The sequence below is a fragment of the Homo sapiens genome, chromosome 8 (assembly GCF_000001405.40).
Source record: "Homo sapiens chromosome 8, GRCh38.p14 Primary Assembly".
Classification (NCBI taxonomy): Eukaryota; Metazoa; Chordata; class Mammalia; order Primates; family Hominidae; genus Homo; species Homo sapiens.
Genome location: NC_000008.11, coordinates 52,681,917 through 52,702,094, shown reverse-complemented (window position 1 = coordinate 52,702,094; position 20,178 = coordinate 52,681,917). Strand labels below are relative to the sequence as shown.

The following is a 20,178-nucleotide window of genomic DNA, read 5'->3' as shown; positions in this document are numbered from 1 at the left end:
GGCTCACGCCTGTAATCCTAGCACTTTGGGAGGCCGAGGTGGGTGGATCACCTAAGGTCAAGAGTTCGAGACCAGCCTGGCCAACATTGTGAAACTTCATCTCTACTAAAAATACAAAAATGAGCTGGACGTGGTGGCAGGTGCCTGTAATCCCAGCTACTTGGGAGGCTGAGGCAGGGAGAATTGCTTGAACCCGGGAGGCGGAGGTTGCAGTGAGCTGAGATTGTGCCACTGCACTCCAGCCTGGGTGACAGAGTGAGACTCCATCTCAAAAGAAAAAAAAAAGTGATTTTTTTTTTTTTCAAAGAAGACTTTAGTGGTATAGGAGCTAAGGTAAAGAAGAGAAAATTTGAGATCAAGCAGCTTTATCAAGAGATTTAAGTGACAGAAAAGTGATGATCTGGCCGAGCATGGTGAGTCACACCTGTAATCCCAGCACTTGGAGAAGCCAAGGTGGGAGGATCATTTGAGGGCTGGAATTCATGACCAGCCTGAGCAACATAGAGAGACCCCATCTCTTAAAGAAAAAGAAAAGAAGAAAAGGAAGTAATGATCCTTGTGAGCAAAAACAGGTCAGTATCCTCTTGTTTTGACTGGATCAGAGTGTTCAGGCAAAGCAGTAATCAAACTCCTTTTTCCATTTACTGCTGTTGTATAGATCTGGTCCCTTGGCCAGTCACAGTGGCTCAAGCCTGTAATCTCAACACTTGGGGAGGCCGAGACAGGTGAATTACCTGAGGTCAGGAGTTTGAGACCAGCCTGGCCAACGTGCTGAAACCCTGTCTCTACTAAAAAATACAAAAAATTAGCTGGGTGTGGTGGTGGGTGCGTGTAATCAAAGCTGCTCGGGAGGCTGAAGCAGGAGAATTCCTTGAACCCAGGAGGCGGAGGTTGCAGTGAGCTGAGATCACGCCATTGCACTCTAGCCTGGGCAACAAGAGCAAAATTCCATCTCAAAAAAAAAAAAAGATCTGGTCCTTCACACATTGTTATATACATAAGGTTGTACAGCCATTTGAGAAAGAGACCAGTTATGTCTGTTTCCCTAAACAACTGGCTTGAGAGTCCAATTTATACAACTTACTTGTAGAATCTTTAGTAATTAGGCACTTTGGGTGTCACCTAGGTCAACCTCCCTCTTAATGCAGTGACAGGTCCAGGGAAATTCAATTCAAGTAAAGATTTCACGTTTCATGCCTGCAGTGGTTGTTGTTAAACATTGAGATTGAGAGTGTAGTCTGAGAATAAGAAAACCTTGAATATCCTTTATATTGGTTAGATGTTGGTGCAATTTGTTTTTGTGTATACATGTTTACTTATAGGAAACTGTAATTTTCATTATTGGCAATTGTTTCTATGTTCCCTTTATTTAGTAAAGCATATTTAGTGTTTATGCCTTGCCATGGATACAGGGTGGTCATATCAGACATTGTTTGTATGTTCTGCTCATGTTAATGGATTGGCTGCAAATAAGATATGCCAATGACCAATAAGATATGCTTAGTCCACACTTAATTAAGAACATGTTGCTGATTTTTTTTCTTTTCTTTTTGTTTTTTCTAAAGATAGTCTTGCTCTGTTGCCTAGGCTGGAGTGCTGTGGCACAGTCTCTGCTTGCTGCAGCCTCAACCTCCCAGGTTCAAGCCATCCTCCTGCCTCAGCGCCCCCACCCCACCCCCCCATAACTGGGACTACAGGTGTGCGTCACCACACCTGGATAATTTTTGTATATTTGTAGATATGGAGTCTCACCATGTTGCCCAGGTTGGTCTGGAACTCTTGATCTCAAGCAATCCACCTGCCTTGGCCTCCCAAGGGTGCTGCCAATGCACCCAGCATGTTGCTGATTTTCTTTGAGACATAGTGGCAAAGAAAATTTTCTCAGCTCTGTCTTACCACCGTGAAAGACTGCCTTCAGAGTGTTTCAGTTACCTCTTCCCATCAATATGAGAAAAGATGAGTGTGAGGAATAGGTAGAGGGAAAAATTAAAGTTTTTTGTGTAGCATGAATTATGGGAGGGGATTATATAGGTAATTCTAGCATGCACATAGCTCTTGTATAGGCATTGTGCCAGTAGGTAGGTATTAGAGTAGACATGGTTCTTTGTAGTAGCCTTTTATAAAATTGACTTGCTTTGGTGAAACAGCTCCTGGCATCATTCAGACATTTTTATCCTGTTGTGTGGGTGTGGAAACACTGGGATTGTTCTATAAGCTTTCTTTTGTTTTTGTGTGTATATATATATATATATATATATATATATTTTTTTTTTTTTTTTTTTTTTTTTTTGAGACGGAGATTCACTGCAGTGCAGTGGCAGAATCTCGGCTCACTGCAACCTCTGCCTCCCGGGTTCAAGTGATTCTCTTGCCTCAGCCTCTCAGGTAGCTGGGATTACAGGCATGTGCCACCATGCCCAGCTAATTTTGTATTTTTTTTTTTTTTTCACTAGAGACAGGGTTTCACCATGTTGGCCAGGCTGGTCTTGAACTCCTGACCTCAAGTGATCCACCTGCCTTTCCCTTCCAAAGTGCTGGGATTACAGGCGTGAGCCACCATGCCCGGCTGTATTTTTATAATTCTTAATGGAAATCAAAAACACAGAAAGATAGGCAATAGAAGAATGAGCTATGATGTACCCATCATTTTGATTCAGTTATCATCACGTCATGGCCAATCTTGTTTTAGCTATACTTCCATCTGCTTCTCATTCTCTTGTTACTTTTGACCTGTAAATTTTGAAGAACAGATATCCCCTACAGTAGCCCTGTGAGGAAGATGTTATCTCTACTTTTGAGATGAGAAAATTGAATGTTAGGATAAATTTCTTTTCTAAAATCACCCAGCTTGTAAGTGGCAGAATAAGAATTTTAACCAGGTCTGTTAAGTTCTTCCTCTGCAGTCAGTTGTTTTTCCTTCTGTTTAGGTCAGATTATAACCAAGGAGGGTGGTGTATTCTGACAGCAGCTAAATGTTTTACTGGAGTATTACCAATTCAGTACCTACAGACACTTGTTAATTGTTTTGGGTTAGGGTTAGCTTAGAGTTAGATTTTTTTCCTTTCCTCTGCATTATTTTTGACCATTTAAAAAATCATATTGAAGGCCGGGTGCGCTGGTTCATGCCTGTAATCCCAGCACTTTGGGAGGCTGAGGCAGACAGATCACCTGAGGTGAGGAGTTCCAGACCAGCCTAGCCAACATGGCGAAACCCTGCCTTACTAAAAATACAAAACAATTAGCCGGGCGTGGTGGCAGGCGCCTGTAGTCCCAGCTACTCCGAGGCTGAGGCAGGAGAATCACTTGAATTCGGGAAGGGGAGGTTGCAGTTCACTCCAGCCTGGGCGACAGACCGAGACTCTGTCTCAAAAAAAAAAAAAAAAAAAAAAAAAAAAAAAAAAAAAAAAAAAAAAAAAAAAAAAAACCAACCATTACATATACAGTTTTTGTTAATACTGTAAGCCTTATTAAAAGTTATTCTCTGGCCAGGCGCAGTGGCTCACACCTGTAATCCCAGCACTTTGGGAGGCTGAGGCAGGCGGATCACGAGGTCGGAGATCAAGACCACCCTGGCTAACACAGTGAAACCCCGTCTCTACTAAAACATACAAAAAATTGGCTGGGCGTGGTGGTAGTCCCAGCTACTCGGGAGGCTGAGGCGAGAGAATGGCGTGAACCTGGGAGGCGGAGCTTCCGGTGAGCCAAGATGGCGCCACTGTACTCCAGCCTGGGCGACAGAGCGAGACTCCGTGTAAAAAAAAAAAAGTTATTCTCTCATATTTTAAAATTTCTATTCAAGACAACCCTGGGCAACATGGAGAAACGCCGTCTCTACAAAAAAATACAAAAAATTAGCTGGGCATGGTAGTGCATGCCCATAGTCCCAGTTACTTGAGAGGCTTAAGTGGGAGGATTGCTTGAGCCGGGGAGGTTGTGAGGTTGCTGTGAGCTGTGATCCCGCCACTATACTCTAGCCTGGGTGACAGGACGAGATCTTGTCTTAAAAAATGTATAAATAAATCAAATTTTTAATTTTTATCCGTAACATTTTAAATCCTGTCTTAAAATATGAATAATAAAAGTATGGGTAGACAAATATTTGTTACTAATAAATGTAGGAAAGTGTCTTGTGTATGCTTTAACTATATTTCAAATTTTTTCCCTAAAATTGATTTCATGGTACAGTTATTGGCTTAAGGAAATGTGATTTTATAAAACCTTTGCTTACCTACCTCTACAAACACCAGTTGCTTTCCAGAAACATCATAATTATTTAAAATACATTCTGACCTGTAATATGAATGTTGAATGTGATTAAAATAATACATTTTCTAGTGTTTTATTATGGAAATTTGCAAACATATACAAAAGTAGAGAGAATGTTACAGTGAACCTAATATAGCCATCTCACTTGCTTTAATAAGTACCAACATTTTGCCAATCTCACCTTTCTACTGCCCAGCTAATTCTGTTCTTTCCTTCCAGCCTTCCTTCCTTCGCTTATTTTTGCTAGACTAGTTTAAAGCAAGACTCAGGCATCATTTTACACACTAATTTTTCAGAGTTCATTTTCTGTTACTACAATGCCATTATCATCCAAACAAAAGTAATTCTAATTCTTTAGTATAATCCGATACCCTGTCCGTATTTAGATTTGCACATTTATCCCAAAAATGTTATTATACAGTTGTTTTAAGTCAGGATCCAGGATCTGAACAAATTCACACATGGCATTTGTTTATTTTGTCTCGTCCATCTTTTTTAGTTTATAAAAAGTCTTCTTTTTTTTTTTTTTTTTTAGTAACCATTTGTTGAAGAAACAGAGTCATTGTTCTGTGGAATGCTTATTCTGAATTTAACTGATTCATCATAATGTTTGTCTTTTTCTTTATACTCCATATTTCCTAGAAACTGGAAACCGTAGGTACATATAGTTGCTTGATTAAATTCAGGTTTACTTTTTCAGAGGTGGTCTGGGGTGGCAAGAAAACTTTATACTTGGGCTGTGTCCAGTTGAATCGCTATTAGCTGGAGGTTTTCCATATAAATGGACTGAAATACGTATCTTTTTTGTTTTGTTTTGTTTTTTGTTTTGAGACGGTCTCTCTCCCTTGCCCAGGCTGGAGTACAGTGGTGTGATCTTGGCTCACTGCATCCTCCATCCCCCAGGCTGAAACAATCCTCCCACCTCAGCCCCGCAAGTAGCTGGGAGTACAGGTGTGCACCATCATGCCTGGCTAATTTTTGTATATTTTGTAGAGACAGGGTTTTGCCATGTTACCCAGGCTGGTCTTGAACTCCTGAGCTCAAGTGATCAGCCTGCCTAGGCCTCCCAAAGTGCTAGAATTACAGGCATGAGCCACTGTGCCCAGCTATCCAAAATACATTTCATATAGGAAGGACAGTGCTTAATTTCTTTGCTTTTTAAGTTTTTATCATGGGTTCTATCTTAGCTCACTGAGGTTTTTTGTTTTTGTTTTTTTGAGTATCATTATGCAGCATGGATTTTTATGGGTTTTTGCCATTCAGTTACTTGTACTCATTCTTTTGATGGTCAGACTGTCCCATCATAGCCAGTAGAAGCCTTTTAAAGTTGTTTTCCTTGCCTTTTTGACCTAATCTCTTTAGTCTTTGTTAGCTGTCTTGCTTTATGGCATATTAAGATGTTCCAGGCTTATGTGATTGGTACATTTTCTACTTTAGACATTTAGCATTAGCCACTTCTCCAAAGGTTCTTTCTAGAAACCAAAGTAGGCCGGGCGTGGTGGCTCACACCTGTAATCCCAGCACTTTGGGAGGCCGAGGCGGGTGGATCATGAGGTCAGGAGTTCGAGACCATCCTGGCCAACATGGAGAAACTCTGTCTCTCTGAAAATACAAAAATTAGCCGGGCGTGGTGGTGGGTGCCTGTAATCCCAGCTACTTGGGAGGCTGAGGCAGGAGAATCGCTTGAACCCAGGAGACAGAGGTTGCAGTGAGCCGAGATTGTGCCATTGCACTCCAGTCTGGGCGACAAGAGCAAGACTCCGTCTGAAAAACAAAAAAACCATAGTATGAGTGTGTAATGAGGTTAGCCAACTCTACAGTTAGAAGGAACAGTCCCACAAAACTGCCCTCATTTCAGGTACTAGTGGCAAGTTTGGCGGTGCCCAGAACCCACCCTCACTTCAAACCAGCTGACTACAAACTCACAGGTTCCCCATATCCACCCTCTCTTTGGAGAATTCACTGGAACAGGTCAGGGAACGAAGGAAAGCACTATACTCACAATTACACTTTTATTATAAGAGAAGGATACAAAAATTAAAATCAGGCAATGGCAGAGAGCAGAATCTGGAAGGGGTCCAAACTCAGAGCTTCTGGCCATCATTGCTGGTGGAGTCATAGACAGTGTTACCTTCTCTTGGCCACAACGCGTGACAGTATACACAGAGTATTGCTCACTAGGGAAGCTCACCTGAGTCTTTGGTGTCCAGAGTTTTTATTATGGCTTGATCCTGTACTGTCCACATGACTCACCTTTAGTCTCTAGCCCTTTCTGGAGGTCAGACCAATGTCTTTAGTCAGTAGTTCCTCTGGAGGTCAGAACTTAACTGATACATGAGTCACGTTGCTACACTGACGTGACTGAAGCCCTAAGGCAAACAAACACAGTTCTATCTGTCAGGATATTACAGGGGCCTAGAGATCACCTCCCAGTAGCGAAGGGCAAAGGCCAGACCTTTCTTTGGTTAATGTTAATTTTTCACTGCCTGTTGTGCTGTGGGTACTTCTGGCTCTAGGTCTGTCAATGCCTTCTTTTCAATGGAGCTATGGAATAAATGTTTTATGGAAAGAGAAAAATTCTTGTTTATACTAGTATTTCTAAAGTACTTTTTACTTCTTTATACATTTTATTTCTTTTCTCTTGGGTTGAAAACCTTGGAATCTTAGGTCGAAAATCTTGCTTGCTTAGTAGGAGAAAAATACTGTCTTCTTTTTAGATTTGTAATTCTTTGATTACTGAAGAGGCCTCAAATATTTTCCACATTTGTTAACCACTTGATAACCTACTCATGCCCTTTGCCTATTTATCTATTGTGAGTCTTTGTGATTTTCTTATTAATTTATAGGAACTCCTACTAAAAAGCTAATAGTAATCCTTAGTCACTTGTTATTGTCATTTTCACCAGTAATCACATCTTTGGATATTTGAATTAAATGATGGGTGGCAGGTATGGAAAATATCTTCTTCTTTTTGGTTTTCTACCCTTTCCTCTCCCACTAAACTAGAATACCAGTCATTGTGTGATCAGTCCTGGGTCTATCATCTGTTAGAAAGAAAACTGGGAAATTGGGCTTGTCTCTGGGCAGGACTTCTTTGTATTGTTGCTGTCACTTCCATATGATGGAAGTGCTGCTTACCAGGAGGTTCAGTCCTTCACTAGTAGATGCCTGGTATTAACTAAAGTATGTGCAGCTCTCACTGAAGTGGCTGTAGTTGCTTAAGCTTTGGAGGAAGAGGCACACACTTTCTCTCTAAAGGACCAGATAGTTAAGTATTTTAGGCTTTACTCTCCAAGAGGCAAAATTGAGGCTATGATGTATAGATGTTTAATGTAATAAGAGAGAAAACTCCTGCTGCGTCCCGTTTGTCCGGGATGAGCCATCCAGGATGGTGGGCATGTTTTGTGCCCAGTTGGCATCAGTTCGAGACTGTCTCCGGATCCACAGGGGACTACCCGGGGGGGATGAGCCTGGGAGTAGAGGCCAACACCATGTTATTTTCTGCTTTGAGAGCAGATCCTGAATCACCCTCCTCTTCTTCCTGAAAGCCTGGTGGGAGACCACGTGACCTGTTGAGTCTTCCACTCTAGAGCCAAGATTATACTCCTCACTGTCCTGCAGTTGCCAGCAGTAGGGTGGAGTTCCCTATTTGAAGGTGGCCCCAGTGTGTGTCCTGGGAGTGAAGTGTGTGAGGATGCAAAGGGGTAGCTGTCTGTGTTAAACACTCAGCTCTGTTCTTGGCTACGATAGGTAGGTTCTCCTCTATATGTTTCTTTAGCTGTGAAGTGTTCAGTATGCACATTTCTAGAGAATTCCACACTGCCAGGATGACCAGGTATGGAAAAATTTCTCTCTGCTACATGCCAAGATCACCTTTTCTTTTCTTAAATTTTAAGTTAAAGGGTACATGTGCGGGATATATGGGTTTGTTACATAGGTAAACATGTGCCATGGTGGTTTGCTGCACAGATTATCCCATCACCTAAGTATTAAGCCCAGCATCCATTAGCTATTCTTCCTGATGCTGTCCCTCCTCCCACCCTTCACCCTCTGACAGGCCCCAGTGAGTGTTGTTTCCCCATCCTACCCCCGTGTGTCTATATGTTCTCATCAGTAACAGGATTGCTGGGTTAAATGGTATTTCTGCCTCAAGGTCTTTGAGGAATCGCCACACTGTCTTCCACAATGGTTGAACTAATTTACACTCCCACCAACAGTGTAAAAGCATTCCTTTTTCTCCACAACCTTGCCAGCATCTGTCTTTTTCTTTGACTTTTTAATAATATCCATTCTGACTGGTGTAAGATGATATATCATTATGGTTTTGCTTTACATTTCTCTAATGATCTTTGATGTTGAGCTTTTTTTTCATGTTTGTTGGCTACATGTATGTTTTCTTTTTCTTGTAAATTTGTTTAAGTTCCTTGAAGATGCTGGATATTAGACCTTTGTCAGATGGATAGATTGCAAAAATTTTCTTCCATCCCGTAGGTTGTCTGTTCACTCTGATGATAGTTTGTTTTGCTGTGCAGAAGCTCTTTAGTTTAATTAGATTCCATTTGTCAATTTTTGCTTTTGTTGCAATTGCTTTTGGCTTTTTTGTCATGAAACCTTTGCTGTGCCTATGTCCTGAATGGTATTGCCTAGGTATTCTTCTAGGGTTTCATAGTTTTGGGTTTTACATTTAAGTCTTTAATCCATCTTGAGTTGATTTTTGTATGTGGTGTAAGGAAGGGATTCCGTTTCAGTTTTCTGCATATGGCTAGCCAAGACTCCAAGCACCGTTTATTAAATAGGGAATCCTTTCCCCATTGCTTGTTTCTGTCAGGTTTGTGGAAGATCAGGTGGTTGTAGGTGAAGATCACCTTTTCATTTATGGACACAAGGAAATCTTGTTCTCTCAGGATCTGGGTCCATGCCATTTCTTGGATGATGACTTTGCTTTCTGTTGAAAACCTTACCTTGTCACATTTAAAGTGTTCTGTTATTCCACTCTTCTTACTTCATATTGAAAGAGGTTTTTTTTGTATTGTATTTAGTAAAGGAAATTTTTTAAATGGTCACATAAGGGAGAAAATCTGCAAGGGGAAAAAAGTGTTGCTATTTCTAAAGGAATAGTAAAGTCCCAAGTCATAGAATATGCTTACTACATGTAGTCTTATTTAAGGGATTTTAATGTAGTATGTTCATGTTCTTTTTTCCCCCGTGATCCAGCTATGGATTTTAAGTTTTTACAACTTTCTTTCTATGTGACTTTAGGAAATAACTTCTTTGAGCCATAGTTTTGTCATATGAATGATGCGGATAATTCTTAACCTCTCTCACTATAGGATTTGTAAGAATATCATATACTTCATACAGTTCTTACTCATGTTTCCAGTCAATGGAAGCTATTGCTATGCCAACAGTATCATTATCTCTAAAGAATAAAAGCAAAGTGGAAGTATGTATTTTGGAACTTCATGTTTGTTTTTACTTTAAAAAAAAGATTTTTTGTAGCTTTTTTCCCCCTGAAAGTAGGTATCATGGAGTTTTATATAAATATAAAATTTTCATGTTGCCCACTATGATATTAAAATTCATGAGAGCAGACAGTTTTATTATTTTGTATTTTATTCCCAAAGTTAAGAAAATGCCTGGTACCTAACTAGATTCTCAGGTGATATTTTTATTGAATGAATGAATTTATTGACCTGTGTTCACACCCCTGGCTAAGTTTACTTTTGTTTTGGTTTACTAAGTTTGTTCCTTTAGACAAGTTTAATCTGAATTGTAATTTCTCATCTGCAAATGGAAACCCTAATGATATGAATGTATTACATGTAATGATAAATGAAGTCATGCATGTAAAGCTACTTAGCATTATGAGTGGTATACAATGAATAACTCAATAAGTATTAGCAATGATTATGATTATGATTTTATGTGCCATTTACTTAGGACATGTGGAGGAAAGAAGAGCATTTGTGGCCGTGAAAGCAATGAGCGTCACATTTCCTCACAGGTTACCGGTACTGGTAGACCCATGGGAAATGATGCCTTGTGTTAGTAGTTGGATTTTTCTCTGTTGTTCTTGGGTAGACTTTTGGTAGCTGGCAGTTAGTGAGGATGTAGAGAGTGAAAATATTTAGAAGAGGCTTCTGATTAAAGATGCCAGTCTTAGGACTATACACAATGGATGAAAACGTGGGAAAATGATATTGTCATTAACATCACTTAGGAGCTGTTAGAAATTTGTATACTGGAGTCAAATTTTAGGTTCTAGAGTCACAGTTATCAAAACTATCCTTGAAGTGGTTTAAATTAATTTTAACCTAGGTTCTGGAGCCAGTGTAATCAAAACTATCCTTAAAATAGTTTAAATTGTTCATCAAGTATGTAGACAAACTCATTCTCAATTAGGTTTATTTCTTTCAGCTTTTTTTGGTCAGCATTGTTTATGATTATGGTTTCTTAGGGTGAGGTGTGTGCATGTCAAATGAAGAGATTAGTGTTTGTTTAAAGGCACACAGCTGCTACAGCTTATTGGAGTTTCCCTCAATTTGCTTTAAGTATCATGGAAGAGGAGAATGGAACTGAGGTCGTCTATACTCTAACGATTTCTAAAGCTTCTGATTGAAAGCAATATATTGGCTGTAGATCATGCAGAGGAAAAGCTGAACTGTCCCAGATTGGAAGAGATTAAATAGATATTACAGCTAAAAGCAATATGATGATCCTGAAATAAATCCTGGATCTGAGGGGCGGAAACTACAAAGGATATTATTGAGGCAGTAGTTTGAATATGGACTGTAGATTAGATAATAATAGTGCATCAGTGTTAAATTTTATGATTTGATAAATGTACTTTGGTTATGAAGGAGAAAATTCTTGCTGTTAGGTAAGACATTCTGAAGTATTTATGGATAAAGGGAAATTCTGTCTGCAAATTACAGTAGTTCAGGAAAAAATATATCCCTGTGTGTATACGTATGTGGAGAGAGAGCATGTATGGAGTGTGCACTGACACAAGTGATAAATAGAACACAAGTGTTCACAGTTGGTGATCTGAGTAAGGGGGACGGGAGTTCTTTGTACTATTCTTGTAATTTTTCTCTAACTGGAATTATATCAAAACAAAAGATAATATTCAAAGGAAAACGAGAAAACAAAAAACAATACAGTGATTATTATTGAAGATTTTGTGTTTAGTCTCACAAAAATGGTGTGTCTCCTTGTACTGCTTTACATCTTCTCAGTTCAGGCCTCTTCTTATCCCAACAATACCGTTTAAATGTAACCCACGTAGAGGCCTCCTTTGATCACATAAATCTAAAGTAAGTCGTTCTTCCTACCCACTCTTTTCTTTTGTGCGTTGATTACAGCTTATATCATGTTTGCTTTGTTCTTGTTTAATGCTGCTTTCTCCTTCAAGACTGAACTCCATGAGGACAAAGACTATGTCTGTTTTTTCCCCCACAGAATACCCAGTCCTGGCACATAATATCAATACACGTGTTTTGGATTTGGATGAATGAATGAATGAAGGAATATTCCTTCCACTTTAGTCAGCATCCCTTAGCTACCTAATCTCTGAGAAAACAAAATGCCTCCTGTAAGATAAAGCTGTAAGATAAAGCCTATGCTTTTGGATTTGGTATTCATTCACTCATTCATTCAGCAAATCTTTATTTAATACAGTCATCTGATTCCTGTTTATCTCTAGCTTCCTTTTGTTAACATCTCTCAGATCTGCATGACTTTTCTAGGTCTGCACCTTCTGGCCAGTCTTCTGTCAATCTGTTAAGTGCGTTTCATAGTTCCCTGTCACTCTCCACATATTTCTTAGAAAGTATCACATTTATGATAATTATGCCTACTTTCCCTGGCTGTAGATACTGCCTTTTTTTTTTCTTTTGAGAAAGAGTCTGGCTCTGTCGCCTAGGCTGGAGTGCAGTGGTACGATCCCAGCTCACTGCAACCTCCGCCTCCCAGTTCAAGCAGTTCTCTTGAGTCTGGAAGAAGATGTGTATGAGGCTAGGGCAGGTGGAAGGGGTGATCATAGCAGGCAGGGCAAATAGAATCCTAAGCGTGGAAAACTGCCCCATGAAGACTCAGAGACTTTAGCAGCTCGATTTGTTTAGGGAGTTCAAGCAGTGTGATATTTGGGACTGATAAGTTGGGGGAGGGGTAGAGGATGAGGGTGAAAAGTTGTGGTGGAAAGGAAGAGCATATTATATTTGCTGTCTTAGGTGTTATTGTCATTTAATAAAGCATTTAGAATAGTTTCCTGGAATATAATGAATACAAAGTGGTAGCTGCTGCCCTAAAAGTCATAATCGTCTTGAGTTTTAAAGCAGCAGAAAAACTTGGATCAACCTACCTAGCATGTAGGAAGATTTCTTTGAAGGCAGCATGGAGGTTGACGGACTAGTGATTGAGGAAATCAGTGCAGGTTGAAAACAGGGTCTGATTTAAGGCAGTAGGGATAGAAATAGGGATATCGTGTCATTAAGTATTTAAATGTTAGAATTTACAGGACAAATTTGCTGATGTTCGTATGTCTTTTAGGAGGAAGACAAATCTAGGATAATATGTGAGAGATTGGGTGAATCTAGACTTCATCAACAAAGAGAAATGAAAAATTAAAGCAAGGAGATTTAAGGGGCAGAGCTCAGTTTTAGAAACAATAATGTTGAAGAAATGCATATAGGAGATTGATTTGGATTTGTTGAGTTTCAGAGGGATTGGATAGATAGTTTAGGAGAGATTTGGGAGTCAGCAATCAACAGTGGTGGTAGCAGCAGCTATGGGAGTAAGTGAGCTCTACTACAAAGGTAAGGCGGCTGAGATCCCTCCCAAACTTTGGAGAGTTGACTTATCTGCCAAGTACCACATTTTTTCTTTGACATCCTATTGGGGGAACCCACCCCCAATATTTCACTGTAGGTTCTATTTTCCATTAGTGTCGGCCGGCTGAGAAATAAAGAGAGACAGTATAAATAGAGGAATTTTACAGCTGGGCCGCCGGGGGCGACATCACATATCGGTAGGACAGTGATGCCCGCATAAGCCTCAAAACCAGCAAGTTTTTATTAAGGGTTTCAAAAGGGGAGGGGGTGTAAGAACAGGGAGTAGGTACAAGATCACATGCTTCAAAGGACAAAAAGCAGAACTAATAAGAGTCTAACAAAGATCACATGCTTCTGAGGGAACAGGACAAAAGACAAAAGCAGAACTACTGATAAGGGTCTATGTTCAGCCATGCATGTATTACCTTGATAAACATCTTAAACAACAGAAAACAGGGTTTGAGAGCAGAGAGCCAGTCTGACCACAGATTTACTAGGGCGGAGTTTTTCCCCACCACCGTAGTAAGCCTGAGGGTACTGCAGGAGACCAGGGTGTATCTCAGTCCTTATCTCAACCGCATAAGACAGGCGTTCCCAGAGCAGCCATTTGTAGACCTCCCCACAGGAATGCATTCCTTTCCCAGGGTATTAATATTCCTTGCTAGGAAAAGAGTTTAGCAACATCTCTCCTACTTGCACATATGTTTATAGGCTCTCTACAAGAAGAAAAATATGGCTCTTTTTGCCTGACCCTGCAGGCAGTCAGACCTTATGGTTGTCTTCCCTTGTTCCCTAAAAATCGCTGTTAATTCTGCTCTTTTTCAAGGTGCACTGATTGCATATTGTTCAAACACACATGTTTTACAATCAATTTGTACAGTTAACACAATTATCACAGTGGTCCTAAGATGACGTACATCCTCAGTTTACGAAGATAACAGGATTAAGAGATTAAAGACAGGCATAAGAAATTATAAAAGTATTATTTGGCAACTGATAAATGTCCATGAAATGTTCACAATTTATGTTCCTCTGCTGTGGCTCCAGCTGGTCGCTCTGTTTGGGGTCCCTGACTTCCCACAACAACATCCTCCTAATATCCCTGTGATATGGTTGTGTTATATTAATCATCTATTGTTGAGTGAGAAATTACAGTAAACTTGATTGTTTGAAGCAACATAAATCTATTATTTTATAGATTCTGGGCATGGCTTCACTGGGCCCTTTTGGGTCTCTGCAAGACTTCAGTCAAAGTGTTGGCCAGGGCTGAGGTCTTCTCTGAGGCTCAACTAGGAAAGGATCTGCTTATGGGCTTGTGGTGGTTGTCAAGATTCAGTTCCTTGAGAATTGTCAGACTGAGACTGTAGCTTCTTGCTAGCTGGCCATCTTCAATTCCTTATCAGGTGGGCCTCTCTATATGGCAGCTTGCTTCATCAAAGCTGGCAAGAGAGAGTCAGCTGGCAAGATGGGAGTTATAATCTTAAGTAACGATTACCTACATGATATCCCATCATTTTTGCAATATTTTTTTGGTTAGAAACAGATCACAGGCCCTGCCTACACTTGAGGGTGGGGATTTCACTGGAGTATGAATACAGTAGGTGGATGTGGTACAGATAATTGCTGCTGTCTTAGAGGCTGTCTGCTGCAGGTGCCATTTTTATTCCTATTTACAAAAGAGGAAGCCAAAACAGTTGTCCAAGATCATATAATTGCAAGTAATGGACCCCAAACCAAACCCAAGCTTTCTAACTCCACTGCCTGGATACTTCTTTACCATAATATTTTAAGGAATGAGGAATTGTTGTGGAAATGGCCGTTTTGAGGAATTTATTGGTGACTTTTGTTTGATGCCATGGATTGATGTGGGTTGAAGTCATGTGGTTGTTATTATAGTGAATGTGCAAGTAGAAGGGCCTGAGTAGAGATTATTCTTAGACGGTAGTTTTAAAAGGAAGAAAGGAACAATAGCCATATGTTGTTTCGTACTGAATTGTTTCTCTTTATAACCAGAAATTTTTCTTTTCCAGTTTTCTGAGTTTAACCAGTAATGCCATTCAGTTGCCAATCTCAAGCAAAGCAAACATAAGCCAGTTTTAATCTACTTTTTAAGAAAAGTGGTAGTCCTTTTCACAGTGCCTGACGGTAAGTCACAGTTTCTACCTGTATAGCAGAGTTTAATCTATTGCCTTTAAAATAATGATTCTGGAAATCTTAATTTTAAAACCTTATTTGCTTTTTCCTTCTCTAATAATTCTCTAAGGCTTATGTGGAAAGAGCATAAGTAAAGGTACCTACTACTTTCTGGGAATTTATTTATAGTTATCGTTCACCAGTTTCATTAATCTTATGGATCTTTTCCTCCATTTGTTGAAAGTAAAATGCTAGACCATGAAATCTGTCCCCTTTTTATGTCATTATTTTAAGTTTTTTTTCTTTCTCTTTTTCTTTTGAGATAGGGCCTTTCTCTGTTGCCCAGGCTGGAGTGCAGTGGCACAATCGTAGCTCACTGCAGTCTTGAACTCCTTGGCTCAAGCCATCCTCCTGCCTCAGCCTCCCAAGTTGCTAGGACCACAGGCATGCGCCACCAAGTGTGTCTAATTTTTTTAAACATTTTGTGCAGACAGGGTGTTGCTGTGTTGCCCAGGCTAGTCTTGAACTCCTGGCCTCAAGTGATCCTCCTGCCTTGGCCTCCCAAAGTTCTGGGATTGCAGGCATGAGCCACTGTGGCTTGTTGTGTATGTTATCCTCATTTTATAGATGAAAAAGCTTTATTTTCTAGATGAGGTTTTTCCTTGGGCATGTTAATCACAGAGTTGTTTTAAATATTCTGATCTCCAGACCTGTACACTTGCTACTGTTACACAAAGTGATGGAACTATTAAGGAGGATTTCTTGCTCAGTGTAGAGGTGAAAAGCAGTTCAACAGGCAGCTGATGGAAGTGATGGAACTATTATGGAGGATTTCTAGCTCAGTGTAGAGGTGAAACACAGATGATGGAAGGAATTGGGATTCATTTCCCCTAATTTGCAAGTAACGGCTACTCTTAATTTGCGATTAGTAAGTTTAACCTTAATACTAATCTATTTTTTATTATGTTGAGGAAGAAGTGGGGGGAAAACTCTCAGGGATAAGATGATTGACCAACTGTTTTATTCTTAATGTAAAACACTGAGTGAAATATGCACATAGCAACCTTTACTCTAGCTACTGGCCTTTTACTTCTTGAAGAATCAAACTTTTTTTCCTGTGGCAGAACAGTTATGCTTTTCTTTTCACTAAACTCATTACTATTTATTTTTATTTTTTTTTAAGCATTGAGTTTACTGAACTATCCAGTTAGCCATCCTAGACATCAAAGCCCATTTTGATATTTTTGTTATTTATATAGTAATACTGTACTGTGTCATAATGATGATAGTATTTGTGATTGTAGTTGCATTTGTAAAATTGATCACTTCTCTTGTTTCTTCTAGTAACTGTATCAGAGGGTGAGGTATAAGCTCACAGAATTCAGATAAATCATCATGAAGTTATATGTATTTCTGGTTAACACTGGAACTACTCTAACATTTGACACTGAACTTACAGTGCAAACGTGAGTTGTATTTCATTTATTTTTTTTTCGCATTCTGTCTGCATGCAGAAAGTTAAAGAAATATTATTCTACTGTTTAAAAAGTAGGATAATGGCGGCCGGGTGCGGTACCTCACGCCTGTAATCCCAGCACTTTGGGAGGCTGAGGCGGGCGGATCACGAGGTCAAGAAAGATCGAGACCATCCTGGCCAACATGGTGAAACCCCGTTCCTACTAAAAATACAAAAATTAGCTGGGTGTGGTGGCGCATGCCTGTAGTCCCAGTTAATCGGGAGGCTGAGGCAGGAGAATCACTTGAACCCCGGGGGGCAGAGGTTGCAGTGAGTCAAGATCGCACCACTGCACTCCAGCCCAGCGACTGAGCAGGACTCTTGTCTCAAAAAAAAAAAAAAAAAAGGTCACATAATGGCAAGTCTTAAATCTTTTATCCCAACATATTTTATATGTAATTGTTATCTTTCTCTAAAAGACTAGTTACATTCTTTAAATTGTGCTTTGTCCTGTTGGCATGAATATAATATTCATGTAAACAGTAAACAGATCAGTAAACAGATCTACTCACACAAAACAAACTGATTTCCATTGTTGTAAGTACCTATAGTCAATTGCTATTCTATTTTTCACAGGCCATTGTTAAGGGAATTATCGGAAGCTTCATAAAACAATGTATATCACTTCCATGGTTTTTGGTCATTTGTTTTTATTCAGTTTATGAATAAATGTCAATAGGTTTATTTTGTTTGTTAAGGAGAGAAAAGATAAATTTAATATTTTCATCCAAATTTAGTGGGACTCAGGTATCTAATAATTCTCTGGCTTGACAGGACAGGAAAGAAATAGAAGTAGTAAATATCATTTCCAACGCTGTTTATATTTTTATAGTGACCATAATAGCAAAGACTTTATGGCAATGCAGAATAAAACTGACATTGGAATTATTATAAATAGTGTGTGAAATAATAATCTTTGTTGTAAAAATTGAATTATGGATTTTTTTTCCAGAATTAGTTTTCATTAAACTTGATTTTACACTTACATGAATGATTTTTTGGAAGATAGGGATAGGAAGGAATCTTCACATGTGTTAGACTTAATGTAGTTTCTAAAACGTGTGGAGATTTTAACAAAAATTATGTAGCCTGAGGATTTTAATAGACCTGATAACCAGTTTGAGCATATTCTTTTGCTGTTATTTACCTAAGATCAGCCAGTTGTTATGGAATCCTGTTCATTAAATAGGAAGCTTATATTTTTATTACTGTTTTTGGGGAAGGTTTTAGAGTGAAATTCATTAACCTCTAAGGTGTTTTTACATAGTACTACTTGGAAAATAAAGTCATTGGGCAAATATAAACAACTGATTTATTTTATTTCATTTTTTGAAGTGTGGCAGACCTTAAGCATGCCATTCAAAGCAAATACAAGATTGCTATTCAACACCAGGTGCTGGTGGTCAATGGAGGAGAATGCATGGCTGCAGATCGAAGAGTGTGTACCTACAGTGCTGGGACGGTAGGTATTCAAGAGTCCTTTCACACAAGAATGCAACATCTTTACATCACATTGGGAACTCAGTGTTCAAAAGTAAGGTTTATTTGCTTCATATATTGAAGGCAATGTGCACGCTCAGTATTTATAACATTTTATTTTGGTTATTTCTCCTTTTTTAAAAAATATAGGATACAAATCCAATTTTTCTTTTTAACAAAGAAATGATCTTATGTGATCGTCCACCTGCTATTCCTAAAACTACCTTTTCGACAGAAAATGACATGGAAATAAAAGTTGAAGAATCTCTTATGATGCCTGCAGTTTTTCATACTGTTGCTTCAAGGACACAGCTTGCATTGGTAAGATATAAACAATTATTTTAACTGATTGTTTCTAAAAGCATTCGGATCTAAATAGCACAGTAGTCTAAATTGCATAGGAAGTATGCAAAAAGTTTGACAAATAAACTTTAAAAATATTTTCCGGTTAATATATCTAGTTTTAAAATTTCTGGGTCATACATTGCTAGTTATTCTACTTTGATAATGACAGTATTTTAGAGTGGAAAAGCTGTCTTAACATGATTTGGTCACCTTCTTTCCTAGATAATATGTAAATAGTTACTTTTGAACATTAATTAATAAAGGACCTACGTTAGAGTAGATGTTAACAAAGAGAACTTAAATAGCTCTAAAAATGTATTTATTTTTTCCATATTTGTGGTTAGTTCCTGGAGGAGAATTAGGTTTCTTTCTAATATATAGCTCTTAACACTGCTACTTGCAGTTCCCACGGATTGTTTCCCAGTCATTTGATTTTCCTTTTTAATTTACTATTTACCTTCTAGTAATATCATTGACATTAAGCTATCAGTGGTAAGCTACATTTTTCTTTTAATCATGGAAAAAATGTGTTAGAACCAATGAAATAATAGTATTTACCTTTTGTAAAAATAAATAACATTACTGAACATTAGCTTTAATTAGTAAAACTCTTAGAGATTTGTTTTAAGCAGTATATACATTTGTACAAATACCCCCATTTTTCACATAGGATACAACATTAAAAGGAAATAACCTCATCTGTGTGAAACATATTTAATAAACATTTGAGAGTCCAAAAGTGCTTTGAGAGGACAAAATTTTAAAAAATATACTTATGTAAACTGAATTTACATAATAGAATCTTTTAGAGTTGTTTTTTTGATTTGGTTGAAAAGTGTACATACTACATTTTGATAGAGAAAGTATTAAATATGAAAATAAGTTAAAGGATAACTAGGATATATAATTTTCAAGTGATTAGAAAGAGCAATTAAAACTATATTCAACGAAAGAATGAAAACAAGAAAGTAAAAAGAAAAGATAAAATGTCAGAAATACGTATATCAGGAATTAAATATAAGCTGGCATTATTTCTCTTTTAATGCATCATATTTAAAATATTTTTTAAATACATAAATAGTAATCTGAGATTCAGATACCAAGCATTCTATATCAGTCTGTTTTCATGCTGCTGATAAAGACATAACCCGAGCCTGGGACGAAAAAGAGGTTTAATTGGACTTAACAGTTCCTCGTGGCTGAAGAGGCCTCGGAATTATGGCAGGAGGCGAAAGGTGAAATTGGCCAAAACAAAGGGGTTACAGGTCCCATGCAAGTTCGAAATCCAGCATGGCAGCCAAGTTTTGAAGCTCCAAAATCATCTCCTTTGACTCCAGGTCTCACATCTAGGTCTCACTAATACAAGAGGTGGGTTCCCATGGACTTGGGGCAGCTCTGTCCCTGTGGCTTTGCAGGGTGCAGCCTCCCTCCCGGCTGCTTTCACAGGCTGGCGTTGTGTCTGTGGCTTTTCCAGGTGCACAGTGCAAGCTGTTGGTGGGTCTTCCATTCTGGGGTCTGGAGGACCGTGACCCTCTTCTCAGAGCTCCACTAGGGAGTGCCCCCAGTAGGGACTCTGTGTGGGGGCTCCGACCCCACATTTTCCTTCTA

General features: G+C 38.9%; 1 protein-coding gene across 18 annotated transcripts in view; it reads left to right on the top strand.

Annotated features, from left to right (window-relative positions):
- RB1CC1 (RB1 inducible coiled-coil 1) overlaps positions 1-20,178 on the top strand; it is a 91,978-nt gene that overhangs the window by 12,341 nt on the left and 59,459 nt on the right. For 12 of the 18 annotated variants that reach the window (XR_928826.4, XM_011517645.3, NM_001083617.2 and 9 more), the window contains exons 2-5: positions 15,128-15,242; positions 16,575-16,696; positions 18,082-18,208; positions 18,376-18,546. Coding sequence is in view for 17 of the 18 variants with exons in the window: in XM_011517645.3 (XP_011515947.1) it covers positions 16,626-16,696; positions 18,082-18,208; positions 18,376-18,546 (369 nt within the window). In the remaining variant the exon portion in view is untranslated. Of the gene's footprint in view, positions 1-14,131; positions 14,501-15,127; positions 15,243-15,938; positions 16,159-16,574; positions 16,697-18,081; positions 18,209-18,375; positions 18,547-20,178 lie in introns of those variants that run through there. The other 6 variants (XM_017014107.3, XM_011517643.2, XM_017014104.2 and 3 more) reach the window with 4 other exon arrangements.